Source organism: Homo sapiens, chromosome 8, assembly GCF_000001405.40.
Source record: "Homo sapiens chromosome 8, GRCh38.p14 Primary Assembly".
NCBI classification, from domain to species: domain Eukaryota; kingdom Metazoa; phylum Chordata; class Mammalia; order Primates; family Hominidae; genus Homo; species Homo sapiens.
In genome coordinates, this window is record NC_000008.11 from 116925731 (window position 1) to 116944524 (window position 18794).

At 40.2% G+C, this 18794-nt stretch overlaps 1 protein-coding gene across 1 annotated transcript, besides 1 other annotated feature; it reads left to right on the forward strand.

Moving 5' to 3' along the window:
* Nucleotides 1-12476: 12476 nt before the first annotated feature.
* On the forward strand, nucleotides 12477-18757 carry AARD (alanine and arginine rich domain containing protein). Its single transcript, NM_001025357.3, has 2 exons — nucleotides 12477-12837; nucleotides 16828-18757. Exons 1-2 carry the CDS (start codon nucleotides 12514-12516, stop codon nucleotides 16969-16971), a joined length of 468 nt encoding a protein of 155 aa, NP_001020528.1. The 5' UTR covers nucleotides 12477-12513; the 3' UTR covers nucleotides 16972-18757.
* Nucleotides 12747-12846: a silencer, noted in NCBI's record as "silent region_19475". NCBI's record gives its function as "represses an Ori minimal core promoter by ATAC-STARR-seq in GM12878 lymphoblastoid cells {active_cell/tissue: GM12878}" and the evidence as "EXISTENCE:reporter gene assay evidence [ECO:0000049][PMID:35858748]".
* Nucleotides 18758-18794: the final 37 nt, after the last annotated feature.

Below are 18794 nucleotides of genomic sequence, written 5' to 3' on the forward strand. Positions count from 1 at the left end.
CAGGAAAGTTATGCAACGTCTATAATCTAGGAGGCTCAGACCATCTTTGCCCACCATGCGTTACCTTTTTTTCTTGCCTACCCCCTACCCTTTTCTGGCCAGATATGAGAAATTTCAAGCTATTATGTATGTGGTGGGGAGGGAAGATAATTTGGGGAGTGTGGAAAGAGAATTAGCTCAGCATATTCAAGTATATTGGAATATATCTTCTATACAAATAAAAATAAAAATGTTATTCAAATGTTATACCATTCATTTGTTTGAAATTATCTACTTTACATAGTAAAGTGCACAATTGTTCATCTATATTCAACCAGCACACATTTACTGCTGCATTTTGCTGGTAAAATACTGCAATAATTAAAAAAATCAGTTATTAACGTCATTTGCATTTGCTCTTACAAAGTTTATCTAACAGTTATTGTTTATGCTTATATCTTAGGCTTCACAAAATAGCGCATTGCTGGTGCAAGTTAGGTAGTCAAAAATTATAGGTATTATTATTTTGAGGTTTTTGTGGAAGAGAGAGTTAAGAGTATGGTACTCTGTAATTTTTAAAACCTCACATTCATTATCTGTACAATGACTTTGGTTCGGGGGGAGGCTTTCAAATATCCAGTATCCAATTAGGCTAGGTGATAAGTGTTATTCAACATTACAAAACTGAAAAGTAACTCTGTAGGGATTTAAATCTGCCTGCTTCCAAAACCAACTCTTACCTATTATGCCAGTGCTAAGAGAGTTAGAGTGAATGAAGAATACCAGGGCTGGAGTGGCGTTGTCAGTGTTTGACAAGGGTAGCAGAGCAGGCTGAGTGAGACTCATGGACTCACCACAACATAGGGGTGAAGGAGAGATGAGATCAGACAATGCTGTTGGCTTGAAACATGGCCTTAGGGTTTTAAAGGTCAAAGTCTGCGAGTTCAGAAAGAGTAGGGAGCTCCAATATTAGGTACCCAGTTAACAAAATTAATAAAACCTTAATGGTGAAATATCAGATTTTAGTTGAATGAGAGAGGCAGAAGGTGAGGAGTGTAGCTATGACTCTGATTGTAGTTCAGGTGTGATACAATGAGAAGCTGAATTGCAGTAGGAGCTGGCCTCGCAAGGAGGACATGGGCTGGGCTTGAAAAAACAGTGTGTGGGAAGGAAGCAAGTGGTTAAGGCTTCTGCAGCTGAATTCTTGATTCAAGTCCCAGCTTTGGTCCCTGCCATATATATAACCTCAGGCAAGTTAATTAACCATCCGAAACCTCAGCCGTCCTCTCACTGAAATGAGCAGCATAGCCTGACTTATAGGGCTATTGAGAGATTAAATGATATGTAATGCATGTGAAGAGCTTAGCTCAGAGCCTGGCACATAGCCCAAGTTCAAGAAACAATAGCAACACTGCTGAAAAAATGAGTAGGGGCGGGAAGAATGGGGGTGGGGGTGTTGATCCAGGGTGATTTGGATCATGGCGGTACCATTAAGAAAAGTTAAAAACCCAGAAAGAGGACGTGGTTGATTCAGAAGGAGGATAGTAAGAACAGCTGATATTGATGCTCTGGTGTATGAAATGGTAAGTTTTAAAGATTGCATGTTAAGTGTCCAGCGCTGCCTTATTAGCCTGGGGAGAGGCTGCAGTGTCTTTTGTTTTTCTGGACAGCAGGGGGCTCCCAGGTACTGGAAAGCAGCAAGTGAGGGTCTCCTACTGTTTTCTGTACTTTGCTCACTAATGCTTGCAAAAGTGAGCTAGCATCATCTGATGCTATGGTTAAAAAGAAGTTGTGTATTCCTGGACTTATAAATGCATAATTTTCTCTATGAGGTACTTGAAATCCATTGAATCTTATAGAGCTGGAGTGTAGCTTAATATCCAGCAAAAATGGAACAGATCAGACCAAAAAAAGAGAAGGTGTGTGTGTCACAAACTCACAGATTAAAAGGAATAATGGGGACTAGAATGTAGCATAAAAATCAGGAACTAGAGTTGTGGATGCAGTGGTAGGAACACACAAAGGAGAGAGAGTCTTTTCTTGCCTTGGGAATCTGGGGAAGACTCATTAGAAGAGCTGGGTAAGGCAGGAAGGGCATTCCACGTGAAGGAACAGCACACGTGCAAAGACACGGAGAAGTGAAATTGCCTGAGAAATTTTCTGAGCACAGCAAATGTAGTTTGTAGAAAAGTAATGATAAACCTTAGACAAATTAAAATTAATAGAGTTTAATTGAGCAAAGAATAATTCATGAATGGGGCAGTCCCTGCCCAGAACAGGTTCAGGGAGGCTCTGGTGCAGCTACATGGTCAAAGAAGATTTCTGGACATAAAAAGAAAAATGATGTACAGAAAACAGAAGTGAGGTACAGAAACAACCAGATTGGTTACAGCTGAGCATTTGCCTTATTTGAACACGGTTTGAATAGTTGGCCGCCTTTGATTAGCTGAAACTCAGTGATTGGCATAAGAGTAGGTTACTGTCTGTTTACACATCCAGTTAAATTACAGTTCACTATGTACACAGACACGCTTAGGCCAAACTTAAAATATGTAAGGAGACAGCTTTAGGCTAAACTTGATTTAACAGTAACAAATGAGAAAAAAGAGAAGCCCGGAGAGAGAGCGTTTCGCACGGAGTCAAAATCTGAATAAGTAAGGAGCCCACATTTGTAGATTTCTAGTACCCTTTTCCTTGCACTTTGCTGGTCTAATTCCTTCTACACAGTTAAGAGCTCTGAGTAACTGAGTTACTGAGTTTGCAATTTCCAGACATAATGTTTCTACCAGTATATTAATTATTCTCTTCCCCTTTCAAAGAATCACTTCTCAGGAGTCACTTTTCTCTTTCTAATTTTGATTTTGTTGAGGCTCAGAAAGCAATACTCCAAAGACTTGTGCTTTGACATGCTGAGAGGCCTTAGATGCTGCTTCAGAGGCAAGAGTTTCTAACCTTGTCTCGTTCCCCACTCCAACTTGTCTTGTTCCTTTAAGTGCAGGAAGGGACTCTGGAATTTCTTTAATTGACCAAGAAAGTTTCTTTCCAAAATAAATGCAATTGTCCTTTTTTGTTGTTGTTAGACAGGGTCTCACCCTGTCACTCTGTCACATAGAATTGAGTGCGGTGGTGCAGCTGTGGCTCACTGCAGCCTGGACCTCCTGGGCTCAAGCAATTCTCCCACCTCAGCCTCCCAAGTAGCTGGTACCATAGGTGTGCACCAGCATACCTGGCTAATTTTTTAAAAAGAATTTTTTGTACAGATAGGGTCTTGCTATGTTGCCCAGGTTGGTCTTGAACTTCTGGGCTCAAGCAATCCTCCTGCCTCAGCCTCCCAAAGTGCTGGGATTACAGGCGTGAGCTACTGCACCCTCCCTCAATTGTCTTAAACCCCCTCTGTAGGGATCTCATTAGATAACTAGGAAAGATCAACCATCAGAGAAGAGAAGAGACTGGGAGTCAGCACCACGTTGAGAGAGACTTTTCATCTGTTCTTCTGAGGACAGCCCTAAGAAATTACTTGGGGTACTTTATTTGCCTAATAAGACAAACTTTGTGCCCATACAGCACCACGTCTCACCTTCCCTTAATGTCTCTGCCTTCCACTTTTGGAGTCCATTCATTCCTAATGACTTACCATCCCTCAAAACAATGGTCTATATTCCCCATCTTTCTCTTGACCTATGAAAAAGTGTATATAAGCTTCTGTACTGCATTGGGTTACTTGATAATCACTCTGTGATTTTTTTCCCCCTGTACATTAATAAATTTGTATGCTTTTCTCCTATTAATCGGTCTTTTGTCACTTTATTTTCAGGGAACCTTCAGAAGGTGAACGGGATCCCTGTGCCCCTACAATTTGTTATTTTCATCTAGGATTTTTCTGTAATTAAAAAAAGTTTTTTGAAAAACAGGTGTCTATATTGTTTTACACTAAACTAAAACTGAAGTAACTAACAAGTACAATTCACTGCAGGTACTCTCTTCATCTTGTAGTTCACGCTTAAGCACTGAACCTGTGCTAAGAAATGTGAGTATTCCTGTAGTCAAAGAGAGTCATCACTCAACCAACAAGCTACGTCCCTGTGAAAATTTTAGCATCTAATCATTAAATTGATTTAAAGCAAGAGAGATAGTATTGCTATTGTCTTATTAATGGAATGGTTTCAGTCATGTATGCTAATTTTCAATATTAGTACTTTTCAAGACTGGGAAACTCATTTGTTTTTCACTGAATGTGAATTTGAAAGGGTGAAATGAAATAAACTAAGAAAGGACAATCAAATTAATGTAAAAAAGGCAACAGTAATAAAAACAGTGTTCATACCAGTATTTAGCATAGTGCCTGGCAGATGATAGGTACTCCAAAATACTTTTTTTTTTAAAAAGATGGGGTCTTACTAGGTTGTCCAGGTTGGAATGCAGTGGCTATTCACAGGTGTGATCATTGTGCACTACTGCCTCAAACTCCTGAGCTCAAGCAATTCTCCTGTCTCAGCCTCCTGAGTAGCTGGGACTACAGGTGCAGCCACTGCACCTGGCTTCCCAAAATTCTTCTTGAATGAATGAATATTGAATGAATGAATGTTCCTTAATTCTAGGTACATCAAAAGCAGTGTGAATTGGTGCACATGATTTTAGATGTTAGGCTGTTTCAATATTACACAGAAACTAAGTCTCCACATGATAACCCTAGTGTTTTCCCTAAAACAACAAACCATTAAGTTGAAGTACCAACTGTTTCTTCTCATCTTCATGATCATTTAAAATATCTGGCTCTTTTCCTCTCTTTTATGCATCATAATTTTTCAAATGTTTTTCTATTCTGTGTCTACTGGAGGTTGTTAATGTTGTTATGACTGTTAATTCTTCTTTATAGAGTTATAGAAGGATCTCATAAAAAGTAATATTGGTGTGTAAATAAGATGCAAGAAGCAATGACCTTCATTTTTCTATTCAATAGAAAGGAGATAAAATAATGAGTAATAAAATCCTTCTAGAAATTCTGATTCTTTTTTGATCAACTTGATACAGGTCAGGTAGAAGTGGTCTCCTGACAGAAGTAATAGTCTTTTTCAATCCAGTGGAGAAAGCCTATGTGCTCCCAATAACCCCACTTAGTTTTGTTGATATTTGAGCATTAGTGGGTAAGTTGTGGTTAAATATCACCTTGTTTTTTCTTACTAGAAACTTAATGTTACATTTTTAACATTTAATGTTAATTTTATTTAATTTCAATTTAATTTTAATGTTATGTTGATAGAAGAGATAACACTTTATGGTTAAAATCTTGTTTAGGATCTGTATAATTTGATTTCACTTCTCAATCAGATGGATTCTATGAAGAGTTCAATCAAAAAGATAGGAGGTATGTTTCCATTTCTATTCAGAGTTTTAAGGAGAGAATCTTATCTTTTGGGGTTCCTCAACCCTTTTTGATAAATGGTAAAGGAACATTTTGAAAATGTTGTTGTACAGATATATTTGCAGATATATGGTGCAGATATAGTTGGTATTTCCTAAAAAATCAACTCATATAAATATTTGAGAGTCTGTTGTTTTGGTGAAACAATGGAACCATTATGTGATTGGTATTATGTAACTGAAGGTTTCAAATGGCTTCCTGCATTTACCAATAATTCACAAGGGATGCATTTAGGTATATTTTCTACCAAGCCCACAGCATTTTGGCTGAGATTTCCAAGTCAGGTGAATCTCTTCTATTGTTCACATTGGTGTCTATGCCAAAGAGGAGTGATTCAACAGAAAGGCAGTCTTGCAGCACATAGCTGCCAGGTTTCTGGATCATACCTATTTAAAAGATGTAAATTTGGGACCCAGTCAAGACACAAGAAAAAAAATGCAGGTTAATGAATGGCATAAATATTTATATTTTACCTATGTATGTAATACCTAAAACTAAAGCCCAAAGAGAAATGAAAATCAATAGAAAGTGAAAACAAATGAATCTGAACTTTCAGATTGTATTTTAATTCACTGCCTGATATGTTTAGACGACTGCATAGCATTCCCTCTTTTTTTTTGATGGAGTTTCACTCTTGTTGCCTGAGTTGAAGTGCAATGCCATGATCTCAGCTCACTGCAACCTCCACGTGCCAGGTTCAAGCGATTCTCCGTCCTCAGCCTCCCAAGTAGCTGGGATTACAGACATGCACCACCACACCTGGCTAATTTTGTATTTTTAGTAGAGGCGGGGTTTCACCATGTTGGTCAGGCAGGTCTGGAACTCCTGACCTCAGGTGATCCACCTGCCTTGGTCCCCCAAAGTGCTGGGATTACAGGCATGAGCCACCACGCCCGGCCTGCATAGCATTTTTTTTTTTTTTTTTTTTTTTTGAGACGGAGTCTGGTTCTGTCGCCCAGGCTGGACTGCAGTGGCGTGATCTCGGCTCACTGCAGGCTCTGCCTACCAGCTTTACGCCATTCTCCTGCCTCAGCCTCCCGAGTAGCTGGGACTACAGGCGCCCACCACCATGCCTGGCTAATTTTTTTGTATTTTTAGTAGAGATGGGGTTTCACCGTGCTAGCCAGGATGGTCTCAATCTCCTGACCTTGTGATCCACCCGCCTCAGCCTCCCAACTGCATAGCATTCTTTACAAGTTGCCCCATGTGCCAATGAAGCAGAACCCTGTCCAAAGAAATCCCAAGTAGTTAGGGTAGAATGGGTTCTACCGACTTCTCTTTTTCTTCACACCCATTATTTTTATAACGCAAGTAATGCAGCATGTATTTGTTGTTAAACATTGAAATAATAAAGAGATACACATATTAAAGAATAAAAGACTCCTACATTCATTGCTGCCCAGCTCCCAAAGATAACCACTGCTAACAAGTTTGCACTCATTTTTCTAAACCCTTTTAAATACACATGCAAACACATTTATCTATAGTGTGTAAAAAATTCTACCATATGTTACATATTATTTCACAGTTTACTGTTCTCTCTTATTTTTTTAAAGAGATGGGGGTCTCACTATGTTGCCCAGGTTGGAGTGCAGGGGGCTAGTCACAAGCATGATCATAGTATACTACAGCCTCAAATTTCGAGGCTCAAGTGATCCTCCAGCCTCAGCCTCCCTAGTAGCTGGGGCTACAGGCATGTGCAACCATGCCTGGTTACTTTTTTCTCTTGACGGTATGTTATGGACATTTTCCCATGCTAGTACATGGATCCACCTTTTTAAAGATTGAGCCTATGGAATTCTAAATTATGGGTATACCATAATTTATTAAATATTTCTTCTCATTGTGTTAGGAATTAGTTTTGGCACTAGTAACAGAGACTAAAAAATTTGGCAAAAAATTAAAAGTTTTATCTTTCTCATGTAACAAAAGTTGTATAGTCCTGGGCATATGTGATAATTCTGTGGCGTTTTCAGAGATAGACTGATTTTGGTGTTCTAATACTGAGTGTAGCTCCCATCCTCAAGGTAATATTATGGTCCCAAAGTGACTGTTGGAGCTCTAGCAATCAAATCTTCATTCCAGTCAGGAAGAAGTGAAAGGTAAGGAACACACTGGTGTTCCAGTAAAGTCAGTCCACCTTTAAAACACTTTTGTACAAGTCCTACCTAACAATTCCTGCTTATATCTCATTGGTCATATCTTAACACATAGCCATCCCTTTCTGTCAGGAATTAAGGGAAATTTAATACTTTAGTCAGATATATTGATACCACCAACAATCAGGTTCTTTTAGTAAGGAGGAAGGGGAGAATGGAGATTGACTGGGTATCAAGCAATCTTACCACATGTATTGGTATATATTTTGGTTGTTTACAGTTTTCACTATAACAAATAGTGCTGCAATGAATATACACGAATGAGTTTCTTTTCATTATATTTGTTTCATATTTTTCTGTAGCCCGTTTTTTACTTTGGTTGATTTATTAATTATCTTCTATATGTTACGCCTTTTCATTATTTATAACTTCACCCATTTTTCATCTGTTCTTGGCTCAAAGGAGGAAGCATCCTGCTCTCTTCTAAGTGTTCTCTCTTGTTCCCCCTTTGATCTTGGTGGTGAAAACAGAATAATAGGTTAAGATGTTGATGTTTGGAGGTAAAAGAAATATAAACTGAGGGTGTCTCCACCTGATCATCTTTATGAAAAGGCAAGGTACCAGGAGCAGACAGCACAGAATGGGGCTAACTTCTCACTCCATGACTTTCTAAGGGTTGCGACCTTCAAGGAATTACTTAATGTCTTTGTGCCTTAGTTTTTCCATCTGTAAAATGTTGTTAGTTTTGGCATTTACCTCATAGGGTTGGTGTGAGAAGGGAATGTAAAGCAAATGGAAATAGTAGCTGGCATATACTAAGTGCTATGTGAGTTAACAGTTGTCAATTCTCACCTCAGTGAAGTAAAAAATGGTTTCTGTGCAGTATAATGGGAATGGAGACACAATGAGAGGGTAGGTGGTGGTCAGAGTCCACATGGTCTTTGTGAGAGATTTGAGGTGGTCAGGGAGGTATGAATCAAGGGATGGTTGTGTAATGTTGAGAGGACATCTGAAGTCGGGCATCACATTGACTGCTTAAAAACAGGAGTAAAGACATTGAATAAATAGGATTGAAATTAACTGGGTAGGGTTGGCAGAAGGCCAAGTGGATAGAGCACTAGAAGGTGCTGATATGAGTTAGCTGAAATAATTTACCACAAGATTCTGGGTGGGAAAAGAGAAACAGAAGAGTACTTCAGAAAGTCATTTCTCTTGAATTGAGGGGTCAGAGTGAATTGTGGATAGAAAAAAGGATGTGGACTGAGAATAGATTTTCAGAATTCAGGCTTTTAAAGATATCATTCTGGGTGATAGCATACTTTCAGGTGTGGCTCATGTGACTGGATTACTGCAGTGAAACAAATGCCAGAGATGAAGATCAGGGAAATAGAGGGAATCAAATATTTTGTTCAGTTTAATTAACTAGGCAATTGATCACCTAGTATGTGCTAAATGGGTTTTGTGTTGTTGTGAACAAGATATAGGTATTTCCTAACCATTAAGTTAAAAAATGTATATAACAATATATATATTTGTTTTTTAAAAACATATATATAAAACCATATGTTTATTAATTAAGAGGAATCAAAGTCACTTACGTATACCTAGATACTTACCATTTCTTATGTTACTCATTTCTTCCTGAAGATCTGTGTTTCCCTGTACTATTATTTTACTTCAGCTGAGGAATTTCCTTTAGTACTTCTTATAGTGTAAGCCTGCTTGTGACAAATTTTCCTAATTTTCCTTTTTTAAAAACATGCTTTTTGAGATTGGTTTTTGGGAGGATATTTTTGCTGAACTTAGAATTCTGTGTTAATTTAGTTCTCTCTGCGTTTAAAAATATCTCAATGTTTTCTGGACTCCTTTTTTTTTCTGCAGGAAGTCAGAAGTCATTTGTATCATTGTTTACTTACGTGTAATGTACATATGTTTCTCCCATGGTAGTTTAAAAATATATTTGGAAATTTTTGATACTCCCTACTTCAAAAGGTGGAGCTGAGGTTCCTCCCCTTGAATATAGCTCCAACTTAGAGACTTGATACTGATCAGCAGAATGGTAATAACTGACTTCCAAAGCCAGGTCATAAAAATGTAGTTCAGAGCACATGTAAAGAGCTTCTCTCTGGCTCTCTGTATTTCTCTCTTCTTGTTTTGAGGGAAGTCTACCCACTATATCATGAAGACGCTTACACAATAGTAGGAAAGAGTCCACATGGAGAGGAACTGAGGCCTCCCACCAAGTGCTGGCTCCAATTGCCTGGCATTTGAGTGATTCATCTAAGTGATTCACCTTGCCAGCAGATCCTCCAGCGCCAATCACATCCAGCTTCAGAGGATGGAGACCTTGCCTGACATTTGGTTACAACAGCATAAAAGCTAAGGACCATAACCTAAGCTGTTCCCAAATTCTTTCCCACAGAAGCTGTCAGAGAAAATAAATGTTTATTTTTTTAAACCATTGAATTTTGGAGTAATTTGTTATGCAGCAATAAATAATTAATACATTTTCTAATTCAAATGTCTGTGGATGTTATATTCAGTGCTCCAATTCTTCAATTTGCTTTGCCTGTGTAAGAGAAAGAAAAAAAATTGTAAAATTCAAGGTGTACCACAACTGAAAAATTAACCTATAGAGGAAAATTATTAATTTGTGGTAAACCAGTTTATTTTAAAAAAACATTTTGTCTCCTTGGTTTGCCATTGTAGCTTGAGCACCTTGTGTAATGCTTGGTACATAATAAGACATTAAATAAATATTGTTAAATGAATGAATCAATAAATTTGCTTCCTCAGGTTTTAAGCTTCTGGGGGACAAAAACTATGCCTTATTCATCTTTGTATCTCCCTCATATGGCACAATTCTTAACACTGAACATGCGCCATTCACTGTTGAGTTAAATTGAACTTAACTGAAATTCTTGTTGAAGTAAATGATCTGGAAATGGAAGTGAAAAATCATAGCAAAAAATTCATTTTAAACGTTTATATTGTACATTGACTAGTGGTGGTTTTCAAGCCCCATCAACCTATCACCAACCAACAAACAAAAAACCCTAAATTCACACTCCATTGCTGCATGGCAGACCACATGGATTTTTATAATTTCTACCAAGACAACACATCTTCAGATGTTTCTAGGGAATCTTTATGAAGCAATATACAATGGTAGGAATTTTACTGTGCTTGGGTTGTAAACTATTGCAAGCTGTTCAATTTAGTAGATTATCTGCACAGGCTGAGTAACCTGTATTGTTCCTTATCCAGTTGAGCCTTAAGCCATTTCAATAGAGCCGAATTTTATGAACATAGTGAATTTAAACACTTATTCACTCTTACTCACTCACTCATGCAACATATAAACTGAGCAACTCTCTTCCTCTTTGGGAGATAAAGCGTATCCAGGGTGTATCCCAGTGGTTTGGAGCACAAGCCAGACTTCCTAGGTGCAAATTTCCAGTGGATCCCTTACCAGCTTTGAGATCTTTGGTGTACGTCTTAATCTCTTGCCTTAGTTTCCTCAATTGTAAAATGCAGAAACTAATAGTACTTACCTCACAAGGTTGCTGTGAAGATTAATACATAAAAATTGCCTGGCACATACTAAGCATGAATAAAAATCAGTTGTTATTGCCTTCAATGCCTACCATGGACCCTGGAACATTGCAAGTGACTTGTAACTTTTGAATGAATGAATGAATGAATGATGAATAAGATGAGAGTTGTGTCTAAACTATGTTTTGTTTTTTTTTGTAATTGCATTCTTTGATCATACAAAAGTTTTGATTGTTCACTCCTTTTTAGAAATTCCCTATTAGATCAAAAAGAGGCAGAATATGTTCTTTGATAAAGGATATACAGGTAATATTGGCACATGATTACCTGGAGTTGGTGTATTAGTCTGTCCTCTCACTGCTATAAAGAAATACCGGAGACTGGGTAATTTGGAAAGAAAAGAGGTTTAATTGGCTCATGGTTCTGTATGCTATACAGAAAGCATGGCAGCATCTGCTTCTGGGGAGGCCTCAGGGAGCTTTTACTCATAGTGGAAGGCAAAGCGAGAGCAAGTGTCTTACATGGCAGAGCAGGAGTGAGAGAGAGAGAGGAGGTGCCATACACTTTAAACAACCAGATCTGGTAAGAACTCATTCACTATAAAGTACCAGGCGGGAATGGGGCTAAACCCATTCATGAGAACTCTACCTCCATGATCCAATCACCTCCCACCAGGCTTCATCTCCAACACTGGGGATTACAATTCCACTGGAATTTGGTGATGACACAGAGCCAAACCTTATTAGTTGGGAATTAAACACACACACTTTGGGCTAAGGGGAATTTTGATTTTTCATTTTAACCCCTTCATAAACGTGGACATGGCAGACAGGAGTCAAAATAGAAAGGAGCATGGAGACTCAGACTTCCAGGTATGCCTTACTGAACCTGTAGAAGGTACATTCTAACTAGCAAGCAGGGCCAAGGCTCTCCCCCTTGACTGCGGGCAATACCTGGGGAAAGGTGAGGGGTCTAATTAAGCCTTTGCATTCCCCAAACTTGGCAAAGTGCCTGGCAGAGTAGGAAGAAAAAAAATTGTTTTTAAGGAATGACGTATTAGACGATCAAGGCAACCAGGAAGGCTTTGGGTTGAAATATTCTAACCTTTGGTCATAAACCTTCCACCTGTACCTCAACTTCCACTTACATAGGCTGACTGCTCAGTTACCAAGCCTTCTCCTTAGAAAGACTTCCTTTCAATGCAAGCAGCAGAAAAAAGCGACTCAGCTTAAACTTCTCCTGGAGTTATGGGAACCGCCTCCTTCCTCTGTCGCTAATGGAGGACTAAGATGGGACTGGGAGCAAAGGAGCGTCTCTGAATGGCGGGGCAGTTGCAGCATCCCACTTGGCAAGGGTCCTTGAATTACCTCCGCCCCCGCCCTGACCCCGCCCTAAACATCAAACTTAGAAACTCATCTTTCAGCAGCAGCGGTAGAGCAGTGACCAGGCGTCTCCGCGATGGGCCCCGGGGACTTCCGCCGCTGCAGAGAGAGAATTTCCCAGGGGCTCCAGGGACTCCCAGGTAGAGCGGAGCTTTGGTTCCCACCTCGTCCCGCGTGCGACTTCTTCGGGGACGGCAGGAGCACGGACATCCAGGAGGAGGCCCTCGCCGCCAGCCCGCTGCTGGAGGACCTCAGACGACGGCTGACGCGCGCCTTCCAGTGGGCGGTGCAGCGCGCGATCTCGAGGCGCGTGCAGGAGGCGGCGGCGGCGGCGGCGGCGCGGGAGGAGCAGAGCTGGACGGGCGTTGAGGCCACCCTGGCCAGGCTGCGGGCGGAGCTGGTGAGAGAGCGGGCTAGGCGGACGGCTCCCAGGGCTCCCTCTCCCGGGTCCTCTCCTCCAGCTGCAGAGCCGCTGGCCGCGTAGCCCACCCGACGCCTTGGGGGGCCCCTCAGGTCTGGACACGGCGTTGACGCCCCCGCCTCCCCAGCATCGTTGGGAAGGAAAAGGGCCCTGCAGGACCCATGGTGGGGGGTGGGGGCGGGGGTGCCTGGTCTACCAGTGACATACCCAAGATGTCTCCTCCCCAACCCGTTTCTATAGTTTTCTGCCCTGTAGGGAACTGTGACTATGTGTATGTATGGCTCGCGGAGGAGGAAATTTCCATGAAATAAACTCTCTCTTGCGATTGATGGAGTGTGTCCATCAGTAACTCTTTCTTTATGCCCCGCAAGTTTTATTCTTATCTTTCCCGTGGGTAATAATTTAGAAAACTGGAAGTGATAAGGTATTTTGTAAAATTGCACCATTTCGAACATTACACAGGTTACATCCGAATATTAAACAGGAGGGTGTATAGGTAAATATTTTAGCTGACTGATTTTTTTTAATTCAAAAAACTGGAAATTAGTCACAACTTGAAAAGGACACAATGAATAGGAGCAATCAGACTTTAAAATGGTGCTGCCTAGGAAAGTGTGCAGTGGAGACTTGACTTGGAAAATTCTTCTCTTTTGCACTGATTACTAATACAATTAACCACTACTTTAGAACTGAGCCAACCATTAGTAAATTGTCTTATTTAAGAATGTTATCGCATTTCTAAGTTTAAGAAGAACAGTATTAGGCCGGAGCTGTGGCTCATGCCTGTAATCCTAGCTCTTTGGGAGGCCGAGGCAAGTGGATCACCTGAGGCCAGGAGTTCGAGACCAGCCTGGCCAAAATGGTGAAGTCCTGTCTCTACTAAAAATACAAAAATTAGCCAGGTATGGTGGCTGGCACCTGTAATCCCAACTACTCCAGAGGCTGATGCAGGAGAATCGCTTGAACCTGGGAGGCAGAGGCTGCAGTGGGCTGAGATTGCGCCATTGCACTCCAGCCTGGGAGACATGAGTGAAACAACGTCTCAAAAACAAAAAAAGGACAATATCCTAAATTCCGTGTCAGATTCAGATTGTTAACATGGGTTACATTAGATTTACTACCAGATTTACTATCTTATCCAACAATGTCAAAGAAACACCTGGTTTTCACCCTGAGTCTAAGCAGTGAGTCTGAGCTGCAGGGTAGCCGGAGCCACCTCATTCGGCCACTGGAGGCCTGTGCTATGGGCCAGGATGCTAAACTGGAAGGCTGAAACCTGGCGCAGCCATCTCTGCATTGTAGTCTTGGGATCTGCCGGTACTCCTTCCTGAGCCTCAGGGGACTCATATTTAAATCAGATGAGGAGATTACACTGAATAAGCTCAGAGACAGCTTTCAATCATAACATTTTAATAAGTTGCTTGTTAGGAGCTTTAGACAAGCAATATGTTGGGGGTGGCAATAAAATCTCACGAGATCGGGTGCGTTCAGGGTGGTATGGCTGTAGACCGCTGGTGGCAATAAAATCTAAACAGATGAGGGCTCAAATACCAACATTACCATTTACAGGTTCTGCTAACACTTGTTGGCCTTACAACTTTGGGATCGTTACTTAGCCAGTTTGAGTTTGTTTACCCATCTGTAAAATGGAATTTATAATCTCATAGGATTCCAGAGCTTATGTGAGATAATATTCCATGAAATGCTTAGACCATGGGTATTGTTTAGTGGCTCTTATTATTATAATGATTACTATAGACCTTGGACTCTGACTGTACCAAAAAAGAACTGATACATTCCTATAAAAAAATCAGGAGTTTTTCTGGAAAGGAACCAGAGAAGTTTACACATACACAAATAATGTGTCCTTGGGTTACAGACGATGGTCAACATCTTGGTCAATCATTTTATCCTGGTCATAAAGAAGAGGCAAAGGAGTGTGGATACTGTACCTTAATATCATTACCACTAGAAGACTTAGTTTTCAATTTTCGGCTATTAACTGGATTTTTACAGGAACTGACATATATTCCTATACAAGTGTACATGTATCATATATTAGGATGATATTCGTAAGGAACGATGAACAAATTTAATTAATTTAGAGTTGTGTTGCAATTTATACTATTTTCTATTGTTTGACTGGGTTTTCTTAGTAAGAATCATTCACTTCTAGGGTCTGTGAGTGCATCTCAGGGGTTCTATATACCTAAAATTGTATGCAGAATTTTTGATGTGCATATAGTTTTTCCTCAGAGAGGGTTCATAACTTTCATCAGATTCTCAGAGGGATCCTTGATGAAAGAAAAGTTAAAGAACCATTGATGTTTGAATTTCCTAAGTAAGTGTGAATTATACATACTTATTTTACTTAGATGGTAAATCATTACCAATAATTTTTCTCCTTGATTCTTGCATGAAAGTACAGGACGGATATTCATCAGTTAATTAATTAATTAATTAATTCACTCACTCTTATAACAAACACACAGAGAACCTACTAGGTTGTGTGCCCAGGCAGTGCACTCTTAGTTGGGGATACAATTATGAATAATATACAGCCTCTACCCTCAAAATCATCAGTCTCGTCTGGTCAGCGTGTTATGAGGCACTTGTACAGAGTGCTGTGGATGCACAGATGAGAGGCAATTATGTCTGCCCATGCAATCAGGGAGGGCTTCTCAGAAGAGCTGGCATTTGACTGGGTTCAGCAGAGAGAGGTGGCAAAGGGCATCTTAAACAGAAATGGGGACAGAAAGAGGTGAGCTTCAGCTCAGCATTTATTTAGGGACTGGCAAGGTTTCTGACCAGCTGCAATGGGAGCTGGCATGGGAAAGAGGGCCAGGAAAGGAAGCTCAAAGTAGGGCAGGATTATAGAGCATCTGGGCCACCCTAGAGAGCTGAAGCTTCCTGCAGGCAAGGTGCAAGGGTTTTTTGTTGTGGTGGTTGTGTGGTTACTGTTAGTGCTTGTTTGCTGGATATTCATTTACTTTATTCTTTGCTAATTCTTGCTGTCAGAAAAATGATTCTAGGTGCTTCAGAATGGAGAGGAATGTCTCAGAGAAAAACTGAAAGATAATTTTATCCAGTAGCTTTATTTTGCAAATCAGATGACCATGAATATTTGCTTTTTACCAACACACTGTCCTGGTTCATCCTGGGGTGGTTTCTATTGACAAGCTGATGAAGCTTTTTTAGCAGAGAGAACAAATTCCTCGTGAACTGCATTAAACAAGCCCTAGCTGAAGAAATTTGCAAGTAGTTGATCATTAGTTTTCAGTTATAATACAAAGATTATGTTGGACTAAGCTTTCTTGGACTGCCCCCGGGTAACATGCCCTAGAGATCTTTTTTTAAACGCACGAGGACCTTCATAAACTCCCATTGAAGGATGGTATAAATCAGCCTTGATATGAAACAGATTTCACTCCAGAGTGAAAAATGTTAGATTATATAAGTACACATAACTATACATGTGTCTCTAAGGTGTCATTAAATGTTTTTGCTCAGCAGGTAGACCATTTAAAATCCTGAAAACTTGAAATGATAAGTAATCAAGTAAATAGCACAGATTCTGAATACTCAGGTGGCTGTAGGCAGTTATCCTGTGGCTCAGAAGGCGCATAAAGATAAATGATTTCATTGTGGATCACATGCTATTCCTTGAAAACAGCCTTCGGTGCATAGGTATTTTTCATATGGACAGCTTTGTGCATCAGCTACTTTTGTTTTCATTTCAAGCCATTTCAAAAACTATTTATATATCTGGATTTTACCTTGTCATATAGAAAGTCAGTTTTATAGCCAGACCAAACAGTTAAAACTGGAGAATAAGATGAGAAATACATCTTCCTTGATATCTTATTTTCTTTTCCTACAAACTTCTTATTTCTTCTGTGTAGTCAGAGAGTGGTTTCATTTGATCTGCATCTCAGGCTAATAAAATTTTTATTTTTTTCTAACTTTTAGGTGGAAATGCATTTCCAAAACCACCAGCTGGCTAGAACTTTACTGGACCTAAACATGAAAGTGCAGCAATTGAAAAAGGAGTATGAACTGGAAATTACATCAGACTCCCAAAGCCCAAAAGATGATGCTGCGAATCCGGAATAAAGAAATGCACACGCAAGGGCTGGGCGCGGTGGCTCACGCCTGTAATCCCAGCACTTTGGGAGGCCGAGGCGGGCGGATCAAGACGTCAGGAGATTGAGACCATCCTGGCTAACACTGTGAAACCCTGCCTCTACTAAAAATACAAAAAATTAGCCAGACGTGGTGGCAGGCACCTGTAGTCCCTGCTACTCAGGAGTCTGAGGCAGGAGAATGGCGTGAACCCAGGAGACAGAGCTTGCAGTGAGCCGAAATCCTGCCACTGCACTCCAGCCTGGGTGACAGAGCAAGACTCCATCTCAAAAAAAAAAAAAAAAAAAAAAGCACACGCGAAGCTCTGGATCCTAAAACTAACGCATACAACCCTGAAACAATTCTGATGAACACATTATGCTTTGCATAAGTTTTGAGGGGCAATTTATAGACCCAAAACAAATGACAGGGGAAGGTGACAGAAAAACATCTAAGAGAGGGGAGAGAAAAATGATGTATTACCAAGTTTTAAAGTTATTTATTTGTTATTTTTACTGGGACATAGAAGTAAAATATAACTATAGATAAATCTCTCTCTGTCTCTCTCACTCAAAGAATGCTTTAATGCCAACTTTCGGTATTCAACCTTGTGTCACCTGACCTTTCTGGCATTGCCTGAGCTTTCAGAGTTTGTGCTTGTTTTGTTTTACTTGATTATTCTCAGTTTGTCTGTCCAGCAGCCTGCCCTGCTTCTTGTGGAGAATTGTTTCTACTTGGATTCTAACCATGCCCTTTAGGTGGTCTGTGACTAAGGGTATTCCATCTTCCTGGATATAGTCATGCAGCTCAAGGCAGGCAGATGGGTTTGTCCTTAGGATTTTTGAATGGGCACTAAAAGAGTAGATGACTATTTCTGCCAGTAGAAGCTGTGGATCAGGGGCTTGGAAGCTGCTGGTGGTCACCATGTGAGAAAGCCCACACCCTAATGGAGGTGACTGAAACGGAACCACTAAAAGCACAAAAGGGGAGGGAGGGAGGGAGGGTGCTTCGCTTCCTTGTTCCTGGGGTCAAGCTGTATAAGACTCCAGGCCTTGCTCTTGTTTATGTACATGAAATATTCTGATATCCTTCTCATAAAATCTCTTTTTGCCTAAGTAAATTCAAGCTGGAGTTTCATGACTTGTATCTAGTGTTCATAACTAATACAGTTGTTCAGTTTTAGGAGTTAAAATGGTTCTTACTGTTGAATTGGACTATCTAACTGTACCCGAAAAGTGCTGTCTTTTTAATGCAAACAGTAAAGTTAATAAAAAATAGTTGCAGATCTAAGTGATATTTATAATGGTTATTGTCTGCAAAATACAAATTAATTTATAACAAGCTATGTAATTTTAATATTTAATAAACTATAAAAATCAGTTCTTGAAGACAAAGGAGAACAGAAGAGACACAGTCTTTCTCTTGTTAAAAGAAATACAAGGACAAGCATGGTGGATCACGCTTGTAATTCCAGCACTTTGGGAGGCTGAGGTGGGCAGATTGTTTGAGCTCAGGAGTTTGAGACCAGCCTGGTCAACATGGCAAAACCCCATCTCTACTAAAAATACAAAAATTAGCCAGGCGTGGTGGTGCTCGCCTATAGTACCAGCTACTCAGGAGGCTGAGGCATAAGAATCACTTGAACCTGGGAGATGGAGGTTGCAGTGAGCCGAGATCATGCCCCTGCACTCCAGCCTGGGTGACAGAGGGGGACTTGGCCTCGAAAAAATAAATAAATAATAAAAATAAAATAAATGCAAGTTGTTTTATGTGTGTGAGGATCTGAGAATTATCTGGACTAAGTTTAGTTTGTC

Coding starts and splice junctions, on each gene's coding strand:
- AARD (NM_001025357.3), top strand. CDS start 12,514: ATGGGCCCCGGGGACTTCCGCCGCTGCAGAGAGAGAATTTCCCAGGGG. Junction 12,838..16,827: donor CCAGGCTGCGGGCGGAGCTG/GTGAGAGAGCGG, acceptor TCTAACTTTTAG/GTGGAAATGCATTTCCAAAA.